Source organism: Homo sapiens, chromosome 9 (genome assembly GCF_000001405.40).
Source record: "Homo sapiens chromosome 9, GRCh38.p14 Primary Assembly".
Classification (NCBI taxonomy): domain Eukaryota; kingdom Metazoa; phylum Chordata; class Mammalia; order Primates; family Hominidae; genus Homo; species Homo sapiens.
The window spans coordinates 81,626,068-81,646,614 of NC_000009.12; the positions used below are offsets into that span (position 1 = coordinate 81,626,068).

A 20,547-nucleotide genomic window follows, 5' to 3' on the forward strand; every position below is an offset into this window, starting at 1 on the left:
GGAAAACCCATTCATGCATACAGCAAAAGCAAGACAGGTTTCCCTAATGCAAAAATAAAGCACATTATTCAAATGGATTTCTTTAGCTGCCATGCTGATTCCCCTTGGGAACTTTCTCCTCCCCGCAGGAAAAGTGTTTGTGTCAGAGGTACAGATTGGAAACTCGTGACACCTCATTTATCCTCAGTTACACTAAGGCAGTAGGAACCTAATTTACTAGCACACTCCACACTGACAATTAACTTCTCGGTGAACATTAAAACAATTAGGTAACGACGCACCCCATCACATCTGTGTGCCTTCTCCATCTACACCTGGTGTCAATCAAGCCATCACCCTGCGCTGCACTTTTTGCTACGGTCCAACTGGTCATTCACGTACTCTGCCTAACACTTCAACTAATGTATTTTTAACCCATAAAACTAATGAGATCCCCACTTGTTAACAACATGGACAAAGTTGAAAATCTGTCCACTGGCAACCATATCATATCTCAGAACCCTGCCTGTGCAGCCAGTCTGAAGGGCACACATTGATGTTTCACACAGTTTAAATGCAAACTATGGGAAAGAACCAGTGCATTCCTGCAACTCGATTTTGCAACTCATCACTGTAGAATCCAGGTGGGTGACTCAGTTAGGAGGACTCATGGAAAGATAGCTGTGCAGGTGACACACAGGGCCGGTTAATGTTGAGGCAGGACAGGGTGCTAAAACCACGATGCCTTCGTCACCACCCTCTCATTTGTAGCTGGCCCTTCTACCCTCCTCCAGGCAAAACAAAACAAACTCTGGAGCAGACAATAAATACAATTATTTAAAATTAATTTTTAAATAACCTCATGACACTGCCGTTCCCCAGCTCAGGACCTAATCACAGCAAAAACAAAATCTCTATGTCAAAGCTTTTTTGAAAGCATGGTTTCTAAGAGCTGCTCAGCTGTTTCTGTGCCTCTTTGCTCTCCAGCCCCTGTTGAAATACTTGCTAATGCAAGAAATGGCCCTGAAACTAAAAAGCCATTAGGTCAGGACTTGACTAAGTCATCTGTGTATCGGACAGCACTTACATTTATACCTCCTTATCTCAAAGATGAGGACACAGAGTTTGTTGTCCACCTATGTCCCAGTGAGGAAATGATAAAAAGATTATAGGGACAAAAGAAAAAAACCTGCTCACAATTGCAGGTTTTCTAATTACAGAGCACAAACTCAAGTCAAAAAGAGGTTTTGGAGGGAAAAATTGTTCTCTCACTTTTTTTTTTTTAAGAGTAAAGATGCCCTATTTTCACTGTAATCACAGTGCAATAAAACCTGAACGTTAATCCAGTCCCACCAAGGCCCCGATATCCACCTGACTTATTGCATCCACAGTAAACAGACACCTCTACCTGGTACAGGCTCCTGACAATCTAGAAACCACTGGGGCTTTCCTTTGAAGGGTTCACCCTATTCACAGCAGTGATGCCAACTTTCTCAAAGAAGAACCATTTTTTTAAGCAGAGTTTTAAACTTGGCCAGAAGGGAAACCTGCCCAGGAGTCTGCTTAAGAAAACCTAAGTGTTTTCCATTGTGCCCAAAAATTGAAATTTTAGGTGACTCATCTCAGTTTTAGCCTTTATTTCCAGGCAATCTCTTAACATGTCAGGTCATGATTAATTCATAAATATTTAGGCAAAAACAGTACCTCCTAGGCTGTGTCTACTTTTGAGAAATTTGATTATCAGGAAAGTGATCACGTTAATAAGCAGCTGAGATCAGTTTCACGGTGCTGACATGCTGAGAACCATCAGTAACTGCCACCTTGGCACGTGGACCCTTATTTCCATAACCGCCTGTGTAATGTGTATTTTAAAAAGGGAGAGAAAACCAAGGCTGGGTGCGGTGGCTCACGCCTGTAATCTCAGCACTTTGGGAGACCAAGGTGGGAGAATCACTTGAAGCCAGGAATTCGACACCAGCCTAGGCAACATACTGAGACTCTGACTGTACAAAAATTAAAAGAAAATTGTTTTAATTTAAAAAACAAATAGGAGAGAAACCCAGAAGTAACTGCATTGAATGTAATGAATGATGCATTCACTGCCGTCTTGCTACTCTGCAAATGGCGGTGGGAGGAGGGCATTCCCTAAGCACCTTCTATGCTGTCTGCTACCCTCCCACCTGAGGCCTCCTAACCCCCTCCCTGTGAGGCAACCACTACTATCACCATTTATAGATGGGACTAGGAAGGCACAAAAGGATGAAAAAGCCTTGCCTGTGTAGCCAGAATTCCACTAAAGTCTGCCTTTGTACAAAACTCATGTTCATTCTACCACCCCTGATGCCGCCATGGTTCCCATAGGCCTCCGGGAATGAACGTGATTTTTCTTTTTTTTTCCAGAAAAAGACCAACAGTATTCTTTTCCAAAGCAAGCCTCACATCTTAACTCCTCCTTGCCTTCTATAATGTTGTCATTTTGAGACAAAGTGATGGATGGGTGGTCCTAACTAGGATTTGGTCCTGCCTCTGACAAAATTAACTAGTCAAGAACAGCTAGAGAAGAGTAACAAAAGAAAGAAACCACTTTATATAAAACAAGGTGATGTTTGTCATAATTATCTCTAGGCAAGTTCTAAATACAAACTCCTGGTGATTTTAGAAGTCAATTACAGAGTGACAACATGGTCGCTCAGATTACTAACTCTCAATCTGTTAACTAAGTATGTGACCGGATGCACCCAGCCTCCTTGATAAAACCATGGTGCTGTGCCATATGACCTGAAAGACAGATGAGTGGTGCTTAGACTGTTCTGAGTTAGGAAGCCCTTTCTGAGAATTTGATGAGTTATAGTCTCTCCCCAGAATTCTGCAAAAGAGCACGGACCCACCCAGTCCATCCATGAATGCCACTGCGTAGGTCTATACACCGTCTGCTCTGGAGTCTCCTCCAGAGTCTCCTCCCTTTTCCAAATAGTGATCACACTAGCTAGGTATTTCAGTGCCTTACATTCAACAAATGTTTAACTGTGACATAAAATGGATCACTGCAAAATGATAGCAAGTATACGCAGCACCTCAAACAGTACTCGGGCACATAGTCAGGGCTCAACAAATATTTGTCAAATGACTCAAAGTATTTAAAAGCATGCCCTATTATAAATTTTTTTAAACCATACAACTTTTTGTCAATTATCTCTTTCAAGCAGATAAAAATAGCATTCCCTTCAGCCAAAATTTAATGCAATTTATCCTTAAATTAATTAAAATATCTAAAGTTATTTTTTTATTACTACTGAATGCTACTAAGAAATAATGGCCTTTCTTAGGTCATTTCATATTTCTCTGCTCAAGAGCTGCACTTATATAAGAAAAAACAGAAATCAAAATTTTAAAACAGCCAAAATAATTTTTTAAACCAAAGCCAAACCTCTATAAAGTTGCTAGCTTTATTGTTCATCCCTTTCAGAAATAAGAAACTTTAAAGCAGTTTCCATAAAAACTTTCACTCTTAGAACAGCCATGTGTCACTAAACAACAGGGATACTTTGTAAGAAAGCCATGTCAGGCAATTTCATCATTGTGCAAATATCGAATAGTGTGTTTACACAAACCTGGGTGGTATAGCCTACTACACACCTAGGCTACTGCTCCTAGGCTACAAACCTGTACATGTTACTGTCCTGAATATTACAGGCAGCTACAACACAATGTAAGTATTTGTGTATCTAAACACACCTAAACATAGAAAAGGTACAGTAAAAATACGGTGTTATACACTTAGGGGACCACCATCATATATGCAATCCACTGTTGATGGAAGTGTTGTTATGCAGTGCACTGATTACACTTCTATTTCCTAGGCTTCACATTAAAACAGATTGCTTATTTAAGGCTCATTTGTTTTCCTACCATAAAATCTTTAACTAGCAAATTAATTTCTGCCACTAAAAATAAACAAACTACCTACCAACCAGTTTTAGGCTCACAGATAAAAATCCATACACACCCACATTCCCTGCGGATCCCATCAGTCTCTGATTTCTGCACTTGGTATAAATAATATGTTCAATATAGAAAGACAAACAAGAAGAAAAAAAAAAACAGTAAGGAGTTCGTCTTATTTATGGCCAAAGGTTCTCAGACTTTGGTCCGAGGATCCCTTAAGGGTCCCGGAGACCCTCGCAAATCTATGAGGGCAGATTCTCTTCCTAAACGTCAACTAAATACCACAAAAGAGCGAATGCAGAGGATGAGAATCCAGCTATCCTCTTTAAAACTCAATAAACTACAAGGCATTCAAGACATTTGTAGACATACATAACAATGCCACTCTTCCCACTATAATTTTTTTTGCTTTGGAAAAGTTATTTTTCATTAATAATGTTATTTGTATTAACACAATTTAAATTAAGTAGCTCTTCATCTGTTTAAGTGATTTAATTTTCTTTCTTACCCAGTAAGTATCAAAAATCAAAATATTAACCTAGTAAATATCAAAATATAACCCAGATAAACAAAAAGTTCTTCAGGGCCCTCAATAATTTGATTTCAAGGGTATCAAGATCATGAGGCCATAAGGCTTTGAAAATCACTGGCCTGTAGCAACCACCCTTAACCTTTCACTGGATTAAAAAACAGCAGCAAACAGCAATTGGCTGACTTAATCTGCCAAGTAAAATTAGACTTTCTAATTCAAACCACTTTATTAAATAGATAAGTACTATAATATTTTAGGCACTAATAGTACACATCATCTCATTATCCACTGCTTTTCATACTCATTTTTATACAAAGTTTGAAGAGCTACTTAATTTTATGTAACTGTAGCAAAATCCCACTAATGTGGACAGTGAACAGTTTAATTCCTCTCTATGGACTGAATTAAATGCTTAGGTTACAATTAGTGTAGTTTTCCCATTTTAATCATCATTGCCCAACAGTTTTCTGCAGTAATTAGGCAGGAAACACAGCATATATACTTGTTCTGAAAATATTCATTGAAATGATTAGAACTTGTCAAAAATTTGATATAAAAAAGATACATGTCCAAAACACATAAATCCACATTTGAACTAGAAAGTTCGTTGACTGCTAACCCTAACTTATAGACTTACAAATAACCCACAGTTGCCTGTAACTCAAGAACTGCTTCATACTTCTTGAAGGGGACAACCAATAACCCTCCCTCCACCCACTCCAATGAACCCATGAATTAAGTACTTGCATATATTTTTCTGTCAAAAATACCAACAGGAGGTTATCCGACACATTCGGAAATTCAGAAAGACACAGAGGTATAAAATACATCTCTACTAGCTTAAGCATACAAACCTCTGCCTATTCACACCCCTGGCATTTCAGAGAGGCACATACCACGTGGTATCACTTCCACAATTCTGATACCAGTAAGTTATAGGACTTTTGCTGAAACTTTCTCCAGTCTTGCTTCTTTTAGTAATTGTGTCACTCACTCCTCCTCGATTCTCTGGGAAAGGGCTTTGTTGCATGCTTACATACCTCGAATTGCAGATGCGTGTCCCATAATGCCTTACATATATGGTATGCACTCAATGAACATAGCCATTTAAGGTGAAACAGGAGTACTGAAGAAAACATGTTAAATTGAAGTCCCAAAGCTAGAATAAGTTCAATAGATTTAAAACGCATAACAGCCTAAAGGGCATGGGCTTTCCCCAAATTTCTTCTGTGATTTCATCCAGGGTTAGGTTTTTAAATTTGACACTCTACTGAACAGACATAAAAGATGACTATCTCACCGGGCATGGTGGCTCAGGCCTGCAATCCCAGCACGTTGGGAGGCTGAGGCAGGCGGATCACCTGAGGTTGGGAGTTCCAGACCAGCCTGACCAACATGGAGAAACCCCGTCTGTACTAAAAATACAAAATTAGCCAGGTGTGGTGGCACAGGCCTGTAATCCCAGCTGAGGCAGAAAAATCGCTTGAACCCAGGAGGCGGAGGTTGCAGTGAGCCGAGATAGTGCTACTGCACCCCAGCCTGGGTGACAGAGCGAAGACTCCATCTCAAAAAAAAAAAGACTATCTATAGGAACCCTGGAATGGCAAAACAATAAGGCTTCCTCCATAAACTAAAGCCAGTTTACTTATCTGTACTCTGTGTGTAGAATATTTTATTTCCCAGCTATAATTTTTTGTCCCCCCAATCCCCTCTCAACATTTTCCAGAGAAATTTATAGGACAAGAATTTTAAAACTAGCTACCCTTTCCTTCAACCATTCCTCACTCCTCCACGCACATCCAGATACATGAAATATACCAAGATCTGTCTCAAAGACAATTTTAAAAGTAGCTACTATTCTACACAGAAGAGGGGGGAAAAAACCCTGAACTTTTATCTTCCCCCCAAAACTTATACCAAAAAAGTTATCAGATTTAAATGTTCAGTATCCCTTTTTTTTTTTTTTTTTTTTTACCATATTAAACACAGTCAAAATACTGCTATGTTCAGAAAGAAGGAGGCAAAACCTGTAGGTTATCCCAGCTGAAAAGGGGCTGAATTCTCTCTATTTGCTACACAACATTTGAGACACACTTTAAGTACAGGTCTCTCCAGAGCTAACTGGCAGATGCATGTACAGATCAAATGTACACATGAAAAATGAGTGTGACTTAGGCTGGTGAAAACATGAACTCTACGCACACAGCCCTGTCCACTGAATTTCCTTCTTTTTAAGAGCTTACTGGTATGCTCAGTTCTTATGTCTAAAATAGATATAAGATCAAGTTCACATTCCAAGGACAATTATGCAAAGAAAACAAGATATGGAAACCTAGCAACCAAGATGCATTCACAGAGGATGACTGGTTTAAGTAGAAATGGTACATTACTAACCAACTTCACAAAGGGATTGTGATCTCTTGCCTCTAAAACTGATTTAAGATATAAAAATGAATATTCTTTTAAACTACAGTCAACCAGACTTAGAATGCAACCATTAACACTTTTAAAGTGAGGCAGGGGAATATACAGATCAAAGTGTATTTCCAAGTAAGTAATCACAGCAAATAGTTTTGCCTCCAAATTATGCCTCTCTTGTCTGATGCAAGTTTTGTAAAAAGACAAGAGCAGAGCGAACAGTCATATAAGAAAAAGAAATTTTAAAGGAAAAAAAGTAAAAGAAAAAAGCCAGGTCACTGAGAGAGACAGGGAGAGTGTGCATGTCTGTCTGTGCCTGTGTGGAGAAGTGTTGTCAGAAGGGGACCGTGTGTGTGTGTGTGTGTGTGTGTGTGTGTGTGTGTGCAGCAGGCGTTTGAGTACTTACTGTGCCCGGCTCTCTGTCTGCTCCCGAGGTTACCAAGAAACGCACAGACATGCCCGTTCAGACACAGAGGCAAGAACAGAAATAAAAAAAAGGGGGGAATAATTAGAACACAAGCCCCAAACAGTTTTAAAAATGGCTTTTATTTATATAAGTCATTGCACATTCCTAATACAGTGATTTCCTGAAAATTACAGTATTTTGTAAACATAAGATTTACAGTTTAACCATACACAAAGCCTATTTTTTTATTTCTTGACAGAATAAATTACTTTTCTTCAAAAAATTAGTCAAGTGCAATTTTGCCCAATATTTAATGCATACTAGAATTAAAGCCTATGAAACTAAGTAGTAACAGATGCAATTATCAAACCTTTCATTTGAACACATTCACTTTCAAATTTAACTTCTTATTTCGCCCCATTTAACAACATTACTTTCTTTGAAAATTACCCAATTAAGCAGTTAACAGTTTTCCATAATATGGTACAGGCCACTGGCATTAACTAGGCAGTTGCCAAGATGTCAAGATGCCTGCAATCTAACGAGATCGAGAAATCTACAGATGCCCACAGCAAACCCTGCAAACTTCCAGGGTGACCTGTGTTTCAGTGGAAAGCTTTGCGACAGTTCCTCTTATCTCATTGTTTGCTCTCTGTATAGGTTGGGGCTCTCTTTAGCGATGCACACAACTTTGCAGCACTGTAAGAGTATGAGGACAAAGTCCTAATCTGGCTTGCCCGGCCTCTCACCTCTGTGGTGCTCTGCATCGTGGTGCTTCTTGTCATCTTTTATTGCCAAGTGAGACTGCCCACTCAGAGCACTAGACAGCGCAAGAAGGCCGGCACTGCCCCCGAGGGGCGGGATTCCAGGAGGCTGAAGTCCCGAAGGGTGAGGCGTAAGGGGAACTGGGGGTCCGTGGCCATGAGAAAGATGCTGAGCTTGCAACTGCTGCTGCTGTTGGTGGTGGTGGTGAGAGAGAAAAAGGAGGAGGAGGAGGAGGTAGTGGTGACAGTGATGGCGATGGAGGCGGCATCCAGGGGAAAACAGACATGACAGGAGGGGAAGGCGGAAACAGAACAGGAGGTTCAACAAACACACAAAAGGAGCCAAGAAAGAGAGGGAGGAAAGGGGAAAAAATGCGATTAGTGCTTTCAGTTCATCAAAAGCTTTCACCTGCTCAATTACCTCTCCCACCTTCCCAAAATATAATCCTCACATCTACACTGTCACTTTCTGGTATCACTCACTCCGAGAGGGGAGCTGTTTATTATTAAGCAAGGCTGGCTACATCAGTAAGTAAACATGAGCTAGTTCTGTCTTTATGCGCCTCCAGGGATGAGATCCAGCATGTCACTCAATCTAAGATGCCACAGATTTTCAGACTCACGCTGTTTTCAGAGGGATTAAAATGGGGGTGGGGATGCATCCCACAATATAGTAGCCATACTCTCAACCTGTCACCAGGTAACTCCATTTCACCCTACACCCTTGCATTGACTTACCACAGTAGTATGATGAGACAAAACCAAAATACTATCACTAAGGAATAGAATTTGGAAAGGAAGACCCAGTAATCTGGGTGGGTGTCTCATGCACCACCCAGGCACTTATGCCCCCTTATTCCATCAATCCCTCTCAGTACTGTGAGGAAGTATTGCAATTCCCATTTCCCAGAAGGAATGAAGGCTCAAAGGCACTGACTAAATTGCTGAAACTCTATCCCTAGGCAAGAGGGGACTGCAGTCAGTACAGGAGCAACTCTTAAGGCTGCTGTTTACCATGCTGCCACAGACAGGGGAGAGGATCTCAGGGAGCCAGGCTTGTGGCCGCTGGAAGAAACATTAGAAACGAAACTTTGTTTATCCTTTCCTTCCTACCAAGCTCCACAACTCAAACCCACTCTTTCATTGTGACTGATGAAAATACTGAGACCTAGAATGGGTAGGACCGTGGATGAGGAAAGCACTTATGTGTGGGACTCCAGCCAGCGAGCCAAGCCCCCGTTCCCAAATGCCTTTTCCATGACTGCACTTTGCCCCCATTGCTTAACCCATTCCAGAAGTTCTAAGTCTGTTCTCATTACACAGTATCATTGCTCTTATACATTATATTTAAAAGCACATTGTATGAAATGAAAAAGTATCCAAGAAATGGCCCCTGTACCATGAATCTGGCCACATTTCAGCTGTCCAATATAAAACTTATTTTTGATGAGACAGTAAAAATGATTAAGGCTCAATTTCTAAGGTGCAATGTTAGAAAATTCTCCAGATTCTGATTTGTGCTCACTTCCTTGGGACTCAATTACTCATTTTATTTATTATCCCTTTGCGTGCACTGAACATATTAAATCTTCATGCCAGATCTTCAGTCATTTCTACCCAGCCCACTGATTTTTAATGGAATCCCAAACACAGTTCCCAGCCTCAAAAGTTAGAGAAAACACCATCTTAAGGCAGAAATCAGTGTCTGTGGAAATTTTACAATGAATTTTCAAGCACTCCAACTTTTCTAAAAATGTTTAGGGTCAGGCACAGTGGCTCACTATAATCCTATAATCCCAACACTTTGGAGGCCAAGGCAGGAAGATCACTGCAGCCCAAGAGTTTGAGACCAGCCTGGGCAACATAGGGAGATTCCATCTCTATTTAAAAATAAATAAATAAAAATGTCTAAGAGCCAGCCAACCATCTTTATAAACTTTCATTCTTTTCAAAGAGAGCATGGTTCTAATTAGAAGCAAAATGGAAAAGGGGATGAGGTCAGAACAGGCAGCATTCATAGCATTCTTGGAAAGTATAAACTACTCATTCACCATTTGAGATCATAATAACAATTTCTTTATGCATAAAATCACCTTCCTGTCATCCCAAAGACACTAATTCTTGCTCTGTCACCTTTTAAGAGCTTGGCAATAGTGAGACATAAAACTGAAGAAGCTTGCAGTGGCATCACGGTCCACTAGGCATGCTCATTAGCACTTAATTAGGAACTAGACACCTGCCATAAGAAATGTGCTTGGAGAAGGATGAGGAACAGGACTGCCCTACCAGCAATTACTATCATTACTTGGAGAGTAAGAGCTGTGTCAGGCTTCTGGGTGGGGGGTGGGGGGAATGCAATGATGCATACACAAGCAAGTGCAGCGGGTAATTAAGCACGGCACTAATTAAAAGAAGATGAGAGAGGCTAAGCAGAGGGGAAGGAATCTAACTACAGGGTGGAGGATGCCACCCTCTCACCCCTCTCCCTGCTTCCCCCACTCCCCTAAAAATCTAGAATGGAGTCACCAGAAGATGACTTCAGAGGTGGGATTCTTATGTCAGACCAAACATACTCCGGTAATATTTAGATACTAACAAAGTAAAGATTTCCGGCCAGGCACAGTGGCTCACCCCCATAATCCCAACACTTTGGGGGCCCAAGGCAAGTGGATCACGAGGTCAGGAGTTCAAGACCAGCCTGGCCAAGATGGTGAAACCCCGTCTCTACTAAAAATACAACAATAAGCCAGGTGTGGTGGCGGATGCCTGTAATCCCAACTACTGGGGAGGCTGAGGCAGGAGAATCATTTGAACCCGAGTGGCAGAGGTTGCAGTCAGCTGAGATCACGCCACTGTACTCCAGCCTGGACGACAGAGGGAGACTCCGTCTCAAAAAAAAAAAAAAGAAAAAAGAAAAAAAAAGATTTCCCCTCCCATAAATCCAAGCTAGCTTTCAGAAAGATGAACTGGGGAAGGTGGGTCATGCCTGTAATCCCAGCACTTTGGGAGGCTGAGGCGGGTGTAACACTTGAGGTCAGGAGTTTGAGACCAGCCTGACCAACATAGTGAAACCCTGTCTCTACTAAAAATATACAAATTAGCCGGGCGTGGTGGTGCATGCCTGTAATCCCAGCTACTTGAAAGGCTGAGGTGGGAGAATCGCTTGAACTTGGAAAGCAGAGGCTGTAGTGAGCTGAGATCGTGCCACTGCACTCCAGCCTGGGTGACAAGAGTGAGACTCAGTCTCCAAAAGAAAAAAGATGAACTGGGTAGTAGATTCTGATATCTTACTGTGAAGAGGTGATGGCTTACATAATGGGGCTTTGCCACAGCTGTGAAGTAAACTTTTGTGGTTAAACCCAACAGTTTGACTAATATCTATCAACAGCAACATTCAACAGCCTAACTGGCCATGGGTAACTTCCACCTCTACCCTAATCTGACCTTCTAGGTCCCCTGAACAAACAGCTCACTGTCTGTTATTAGAGGTAACTGGGTTCTTCCATCCATTGCTTGGCTACAATGAAAGTTTCTTTTTTTTTTTTTTTTTTAAGCAAAATCCTATCAAATTGAAAGGAGTACTAAGTAACAATCAAATGGATCACAACTGCTGAAGATGTCGTGATTCTAGGAAATGTGGCCATTCCACCTCATATTCGACTTCTTGTTTCTGCAGGGCAGTGCTCCTAGATAATATCTAAGTGTCCATCGTCTGGCACAAGCTTGGAACACATCTGAGTCAGGGAGGGTAGGTATCATGATACCTACCCATTTCACAGACGATACTGGCTCAAAGCCAAGAGGCTTGCTACAGGGCTCAGAGCCAGAATGAGGGCTACAAACCTTTTGTTTCCTAGGACAAGATTTCTCCTGTAACCCCAGCAGCTCAATCATGTTCTCCAGAATAAGAAAGGAAAAGGGCAAAGCCATTCTCTACTGAGACTTCGCATTTCCCCCACTGCTCAGCTAACCAGATGCTCTTGAGAACACCTGATACTACATACACAGAGACAAATCCACCCTCACCAACAGGCCTAATGGCAGTGACGGGGGAGTTTACGCTTAGACTGCATGAGTACCATCTCCTGTCCCCCCTTCTCAATGCCTGTCCTACATCTGCAAAAGGACACTATCCCTTGCCCCCAGCTCTCTTCCAAAGAAGCACGTCAAGAAGAATCAAGCCTAACAGTGCTGGCTCTGGCTTTTCTCAGAAGTAGATGCTTAACATTATAAACACAAAGTGTCATTTCTAAGATAACATATTTATTTAAATGAGTAGAGGGTCCAAATCTAGAAGAGTAAAACAGCTATCTCCAAAAGGACAGCGCTCCTCTGTCCCATCTGTCTTTGGAAGCCCATTTTTTCTCAACAAGGCTTACCTGAGACAATCTTGTACTTATCACCTTCAACAAAGGAAAAAGTATGGATGCTACTTGAATATATTTTAGGAAAAAGTGATACTGATACTACTATATAGCCAAAACCCAATAGCTCTGCCAATCAGGAGAATTTATGCACACTTTTCTTTTTTTGAGACAGAGTCTTCACTGTTGCCCAGGCTGGAATACAGTGGCGCAATCTTGGCTCACTACAATCTCCTCCTTCTGGGTTCAAGCGATTCTCCTGCCTCAGCCACCCAAATACCTGGGATTCCAGGTGCACACCACCACGCCCAGCTAATTTTTGTATTTTTAGTAGAGATGAGGTTTTACCACATTGGCCAGGCTGGTCTGCAACTCCTGACCTCAAGTGATCCTCCCACTCCGGCCTCCCAAAGTGCTGAGATTACAAGCGTGCGCCACCACACCAGCCGATACATGCATTTTTTTTGAAGCAAAGTCTCACTCTGTTACCCAGGCTGGAGTGCAGCAGTGCAATCATGGCTCACTGCAGCTCAAATGCCTGGGCTCAAGCAATCCTCTCACCTCAGGCTCCTAAGTACATACTTAGCTGGGACTACAGGTGTGCACCACTACACTTGGCTAATTTTTTTTTATAGAGATGGGGTCTCACCATGTTGCCCAGGCTGGTCTGGAACTCCTGTTTTCAAGCAATCCTCCTGCCTCAGCCTCCCAAAGTGCTGGGATTACAGGTGTGGGCCACTGTGCCTGGCCACAGCTTGGCTAATTTTTTTTACACAGATGGGGTCTCACCATGTTGCCCAGGCTGGTCTAGAACTCCTGGCTTCAAGCAATCCTCCTGCCTCGGCCTTCCAAAGTGCTAGATTACAAGCGTAAGCTACCATAGCTGGCCTGCATCTGTACTCTCTAACCAAAACCTGCCCGTCATTTGGAAAACTGCAAGATGTTTTTTTCAACATGACAGGAAGGATGAGGAAATTTATTCTTCTATCTAGGCATTAGTTTACAGTAATTAGGAAATTTGCTTAAAAGTCAAAATGCTTGTAGATTTATACAACATAGAACACACATGCAAAAGTTTGTAAAGTGATTAGTAAAAGTTGTTTTTTTTTTTTGTTTTTTTTTTTTTTGAGACAGTCTCGCTCTGTCGCCCAGGCTGGAGTGCAGTGGTGCAATCTCGGCTCACTGCAACCTCCACCTCCCGGGTTCAAGCTATTCTTTGTGCCTCAGCCTCCACAGTAGCTGGGATTACAGGTGAGCACCACCACACCCAGCTAATTTTTGTATTTTTAGTAGAGATGGGGTTTTGCCATGTTGGCCAGGCTAGTCTCGAACTCCTGGCTTCGAATGATCAGCCCACCTCGGCCTCCCAAAGTGCTGGGATTACAACAGGCATGAACCACCGCGCCCAGCTGAGAAAAAGCATTTTTGATAAGCAATGACAGTTTCTAGCAATATAGCTGGTTTCTCAGGCTATGATTCTAGACCACTGGTTCTCAAGCAGAACCAATTTTGACACCCCTCCCCTCCCTGCTTCAGGGACATATGGCCATGTGTGGAGGTCACTGCGGGGGAGGGAAAAGAATGCTACTGGTGCATCTAATGGGTGAAGGCCAAGGATGCTGTGAACATCCTACAATGCACAGGACAGCCCTCACCACAGAGAATTATCCTGCCCAAAATGTCAACAGTGCTAAGGTTCACTAACTTGAATTTAGACCTAAGCTGATATTCTGTGCCATTAATTAGAATTCATGTTCTTGTATGCTAAAAGACTTGCCAAATTCTTGTTTAAAAAATAAAAATACTATTCAACATTCAATCACATTCACTGTCCTTTCATCGCCATCTGAGTACCCTGTCACAACACAAAAAAATGAACATCTGCTTTCTTAAGCTGATTCCACTAACAATTTCAAAAATTAAAAAAAAAAAAAAATCCTTGTATTTTACAAAGCAATTTGAGAAAGGACTACACTGGGAAATTTTACATACTGGTGTTCTGGGGCCCTAAAGGGAATGACAAACATTCAGATTTGGGGATAAAGAGATCAGTGCACTTGCTCTAACCAAAATCATTTGAATAGGCTGAGAGTGAGACAAATAAAACAAATGCCAAACCCTGAGTTAATGATACTGAAAACCCACAAGGAATAAAGCGATCTCATCCATGTCAAACAACAGCCACGCATTGAGAATTTTAATTCACATTTTACTTAGTGCAGCTTGGGTCAATTATATTACTATAATGAAACTGACTTTGCTGTTTACATTCAGAGTGTTACTGTAATGGTATAGTTTCTACACACAGTCACAGCACATGGCTTATCACCATGTTGTTGTAGCCTCTAACAACTGGGAAGGACACCCAGTATGAAAACACAGGCCAATGCCCACCTTCTCCTGACCGGAAACTAAGCTCCTTACCACCAACCATGGAATCAACTTTAATTTCTGAAACTTCACCCGCTTTGTAACCCCAAGAAAAACTATGTCATAAAAATCACAGACTTAACCCAACCCAAACTAAAACCATGCCCCTAAGTGGCACCTCTGATGCTAAGAGTGACAGTAAGTGGCATTTATAGCACCCGGTATTTAAACACTTTCTTTTAAGGGGACAAAAACGTGAAAAAGAGCATTTGTTGACAGTTCTCTCCAAATCACTCTTCCTTGATTTCTGCTATTTCCCTGTTCTTTAAAACACTCAATTCCTATCTTGGGAGACAGCAAAATAAATAAATAAATAAATAAAAATAAAGAAGAAAACTGGTATGCTACGTAAACACGTGCAAAAGAGCTGTCTGGCAGCAGAAAACATCAAGGACACTACTGCAGGAGTTATCGCAAAACCTCCCATTATGTGAATGGCCTCTCACGTAAAGAGGGGCAAGGGTGATCAACAGGAAGAAACTGCTTATGGGGCCAAGAATTCTCCAGCCACTTGAAGACAATAACAAAAACTAAAATAACAATCCACTAAAGGCCCCATCTCAATGCAGGAGCACACAGAAAATGATGCATGGGCAACCTAAGGAATGGGAGAAAATATTTGCAAACCATACCTCAAATAAGAGTTAACATCCAAAAAACTCAATAGTACAAAAATTAAAAAATAAGTATCCTAATTTAAAAATGGGCAAAGGACCTCCTGAACAGACATTTCTCAAAGAAGACACACAAATGGCCAACAGATATACAAAAAAATGCTCAATATCATTAATCATGAAGGAAACGCAAATCAGAGCCACAATGAAATATCACCTCAGGCTGGGCGCAGTGGCTCACGCCTGTAATCCCAGCACTTTGGGAGGCCGAGGTGGACGGATCACCTGAGTTTGGGAGTTTGAGACCAGCCCAACCAACATGGAGAAACCCAGTGTCTACTAAAAATACAAAATTAGCCAGGTGTGGTGGCGCATGCCTGCAATCCCAGCTACTCAGGAGGTTGAGGCAGGAGAATTGCTTGAACCTGGGAGGCAGAGGTTGCAGTAAGCGGAGATCGCGCCATTGCACTCCAGCCTGGGCAACAAGAGCAAAACTCCATCTCCAAAAAAAAAGAAAGAAAGAAAGAAATGTCACCTCAAACCTGCTGAAATGGTGGGTAACAAAAAGACAAAGATAGTGTTAGTGATGGTGTGGAGAAAAGGAAACCTTTGTACACTGTTCTTAGGAATGTAAATTGGTACAGCCCTGATGCAAAACAACAGTATAGAGGTTTCTCAAAAAGTTAAAAATAGAACTACTTTCTCAAAAAGGTTAATTATCCCTTTTCTGAAGTGCTTGGGACCAGCAATGTTTGGATTCTGGATTTTTTTCAGATTTTTAAATATTTGCAATATTCTTACTGGCTGAGAATTAGGGCTGCTCAATCTGTACATGATCCAGCAATCCCACTTCTGGGTATATATCTAAAGAAAATGAAATTGGGGTCCGAGGTCCGGGCACAGTGGCTCATGCCTGTAATCCCAGCCTTTGGGAGGCCGAGGAAGGTGGATCACCTGAGGTCAGGAGTTCGAGACCAGCCTGGCCAACATGGTGAAACCCCGTCTCTACTTAAAAAAAAAAAAAATTAGCCAGGCATGGTGGTGGGTGCCTATAATCCCAGCTACTCCAGAGGCTGAGGCAGGAGAACTGCTTGAACCCAAGAGATAGAGGTTGCAGTGAGCCAACACGGTGCCACTGCACTCCAGCCTGGGTGACAGAGTGAGACTCCGTCTCAAAAAATGAAAGAAAAGAAAGAAAGGAAAGAAAGAAAGAAAGAGAGAGAAAATGAAATCAGTATATCAAAGATACATCTGCAATCCATGACCACTGCAGTGCTATTCACGAGAGCCAAGATACCGAACAACCCAAATGTCTGTTGATGGATGAACAGATAAAGAAAATGTGGTACCTATAAACACAATGGAATACCATTCAGCCTTGAAAAAGAAGAAAATCCTACCACTTACGACAACATGGGCAGATGTGCAGAACAGTAGGCTAAGCGAAATAAGCAGATTCAGAAAGACAAATAATGCATAATCTCCTTTCTATGTGGAATCTAAGAGTACAACTCACAGAAGCAGAGAGTAGAATGGCGGCTGCCTTGCGGGGTAGGGGAAAATGAGGAGCAATTGGTCAAAGGGTACAAGGTTTCAGTTACCCAAGATAAAGAAGATCTGGATTTCCAAGGTACAACACGGTGACTATAGTTAATAATAACGGTATTGTATACTTGAAATTTGCTAAAATGGTACTTTGTGGTGTGTTTGTTTTTTGTTTTTTGGTTTTTTTTTTTGACAGAGTTTCGCTCTCGTTGCCCAGGCTGGAGTACAATGGTGCGATCTCGGCTCACGGCAACCTCCACCTCCTGGGTTCAAGCGATTCTCCTGCCTCAGCCTCCTGAGTAGCTGGGGTTACAGGCATGTGCCACCACGCCAGGCTAATTTTGCATTTTTAGTAGAGATGGGGTTTCTCCATGTTAGTCAGGCTGGTCTGGAACTCCCAACCTCAGGTGATCCGCCCACCTCAGCCTCCCAAAGTGCTGGGATTACAGGCATGAGCCACCGCACCCAGCCCTTTGTTTTGTTTTCTTAGAGACAGGGTCTCATTTGGTCACCCAGGTGGGATACAGTGGCATGATTTTATCTCATTGCAGCCTTGAAGTCCCAGACTCAAGCAATCCTCCCACCTCAACCTCCTGAGTAGCTGGGACTACAGGCACGCACCACCACACTCAGCTAATTTTTTTGATTTTCAGTGGAAAAAAAGTCTTGCTATGTTGCCCAGGCTGGTGTCCAACACCTGAGCTCAAGCAATCCTCCTGCCTTGGCCTCCCAAACTGCTGGGATTACATGTGTGAGCCACCATGCCTGGCCTGTCTTTATTCTTTCTCCATTTCAGCTAATCCACATAGGCCAACTCCTCCTGCATGACCACTGCCTTGCTCATCCCATTTCCCTGGAAGGCCATTAAGGCTATGACAAGCCATGTGAAGGTGGATCCACTACAAAAACTATACAGGTTTTGATTGAAAAGATGTTCAACATCATCAGCCATCAGGAAAATGCAAATCAAAAACGGGAGATGCGGCCTCACACCCATTAGGATGCGGAGAATAAAAAAGATGGACAGGAAATGCCAGAGATCATGTAGAGAAATTGGAATTCTCGTACGCTATTGTGGGAATGTAAAATGATGCAGCCGCTTTGGAAAACAGTCTGGCTGTTGCTCAAAAAGTTACCATAGACCCAGTGATTCTACTCCCAGAGACAAATCCAAGAGAAAACATGCCCACACAAAAACCTGTACACAAATGTTCATAGCAGCATTATTCAAAATAGCCAATCAGTGGAAATAACCTAAATATCCATCAACTTATGAATGAATAAGCAACTGCAGTATATTGATGAAATGTTAATTGTCAATAAAAAGGACTAAAATACTGGTGATACGACAACATGGATAAACCTTGAAAACATGCTAAGTAAAAGAAGCCAGGCATACAAGGCTACATATTATATGATTCCATTCATATGAGATGTCCAGAATAGGCAAATTCATAGAGATGGATAAGCACATTGGTAGCAGCCAGAGGTTAGGGGAGGAGACATGAAGAATAAATGGTAATGAATACGGAGTTTCTTTACAGGGTGACAAAAATGTTCTAGAAAAATTTTATAGTCGTGATGGTTGTACAGCAATGTGAATACGCTAAAAACCACAGAAGTGTATGCTTTAAAAAAGACGAATTTGGCCAGGTGCAGTGACTCATGCCTGTAATCCCAGCACTTTGGGAGGCAGAGACAGGTGAATCACCTGAGGTCAGGAGTTTGAGAACAGCCTGGCCAATATGGTGAAACCCCATCTCTATTAAAAATGCAAAAATTAGCCAGGCATGGTGGTGTGTGCCTGTAATCCCAATTACTCGGGAGGCTGAGGCAGGAGAATCGTTTGAACCCGGGAAGCGGAGGTTGCAGTGAGCCGATATCGCACCACTGCACACTGCACTCCAGCCTGGGTGATAGAGTGAGACACTGTCTCAAAAAAAAAAAAAAAAAAAAAAAGGTGAATTTCATGGTGTATATATCATATCTCAATTTTAAAAATAACACACAATAGGCTGGGTGCAGTGCCTCACGTCAGTAATCCCAGCACTTTGGGAGGCCAAGGCAGGTGGATCACCTGAGGTCAGGAGTTCCAGACCAGCCTGACCAACATGGAGAAACCCTGTCTCTACTAAAAATACAAAATTAGCCAGGCATGGTGGCGCATGTCTGTAATCCCAGCTACTTGGGAGGGGAGGCTGAGGCAGAAGAATCGCTTAACCCGGGAGGCAGAGGTTGCAGTGAGCGCCAAGATCGCGCCATTGCACTCCAGCCTGGGCAACAAGAGAGAAACTCCGTCTCCAAAAAAAAAAAAATAATAGTAATAATAATTCAATTGTAATTTTAAAATAACTAAAAGCGTGTCATTAGATTGTAACACAAAAGATAAATGCTTGCTGGGTCTGGTGGCTCACACTTATAATCCCAGCACTTTGAGAGGCCGAGATGGGTGGATCCCCTGAGGTCAGGAGCTCCAGATCAGCCTGGCCAACATGGAGAAACCTCGTCTCTACTAAAAATACAAAATTAGCCAGGCGTGGTGGCACATGCCTATAATCCAAGCTCCTTGGGAGGCTGAGGCAGGAGAACCGCTTGAACCCGGGAGGCAGAGGCTGTGGTGAGCTGAGATCAAGCCACTGCACTCCAGCCTGGGCAACAAGAGTGAAACTCTGTCTCCAAAAAAATAAAATAAAATAAAATAAAATAAAAATAAATGCTTGAGGGGATAGATACCCCATTCTTTATGATGTGTTTATTAAACACTGCATGCCTGCATCAAAACATCTCCTGTACCTCATAAATATATACACCTAGTACACACAAAAATAAAAAATTTAAAAACACACAGGTGTAACTCCTATAATGGGGTACTCTATTTTCTATTCTGAAGCTTTTTTCTCCTTCTGGAAAAATGAAGAATATATAATGCTTTATTCCAGGGAATCAAGTAAAAATCACAGGAAACTATGTGGGTGGGTTGATAGGTGCAGCAATCACAGCACACGTTTACCTATGAAACAAACCTGCACATCCTATACATGTATCCCGGAACTTAAATTAAAATTTTTTTAAAAAAGGAAAGAAATATGTGGGGAAATTAAAAAGTAAATGCTTCAACACTTTTCTAATAACTACAAAGCATGATGACAATAATCCGGACACTGAGGAAAAGTTCTGCATTTGTCAGGCGCCTAGTTGTGCTCTCAGTAAAAACAAACAAACAAATTTAACCAAAGGAGAAACGGACTGCGAAGACTTCTTTGCAATATTGCTCTTTCCCTTCGGAAATTTAATAAAAGGGCTAGAGTGTTGGAATTTAAGTAGAGAGTACGTCACTAAATACAAGTTAGTAGAGCTAGAAGATCCATGTTTGTTGTAGCTATTTAGTCTTCTCTCGGTAGCAGGATATGCATTATTCTCCTAGGGAGAATTTGTTTTATAAAGAAACTTACAGCTGGGTTACTGATGGCTTTCCAGGGATTAACCACATACTCATAAGAATAAGAGGCCAACCTCATCCTCTTAAACTTCACACACTACAATCCCATAG

The 20,547-nt window shown here is 41.9% G+C and overlaps 1 protein-coding gene across 23 annotated transcripts in view; it reads right to left on the reverse strand.

The window, feature by feature from the left end:
- The window catches only part of TLE1 (TLE family member 1, transcriptional corepressor), a 105,865-nt gene that overhangs the window by 42,385 nt on the left and 42,933 nt on the right, over positions 1-20,547 (reverse strand). For 10 of the 23 annotated variants that reach the window (XM_006717259.5, NM_001303104.2, XM_006717262.2 and 7 more), the window contains 2 exons: positions 8,030-8,234; positions 7,281-7,297 (listed from right to left, as the gene is read on the reverse strand). The exons of 8 other annotated variants lie outside the window; for them this stretch is intronic. In XM_006717259.5, the coding sequence (XP_006717322.1) occupies positions 7,281-7,297; positions 8,030-8,234 (222 nt within the window). Of the gene's footprint in view, positions 1-7,280; positions 7,298-8,029; positions 8,235-20,547 lie in introns of those variants that run through there. 5 more of the 23 variants (XM_006717263.2, XM_011518951.3, XM_005252154.2 and 2 more) reach the window with 2 other exon arrangements.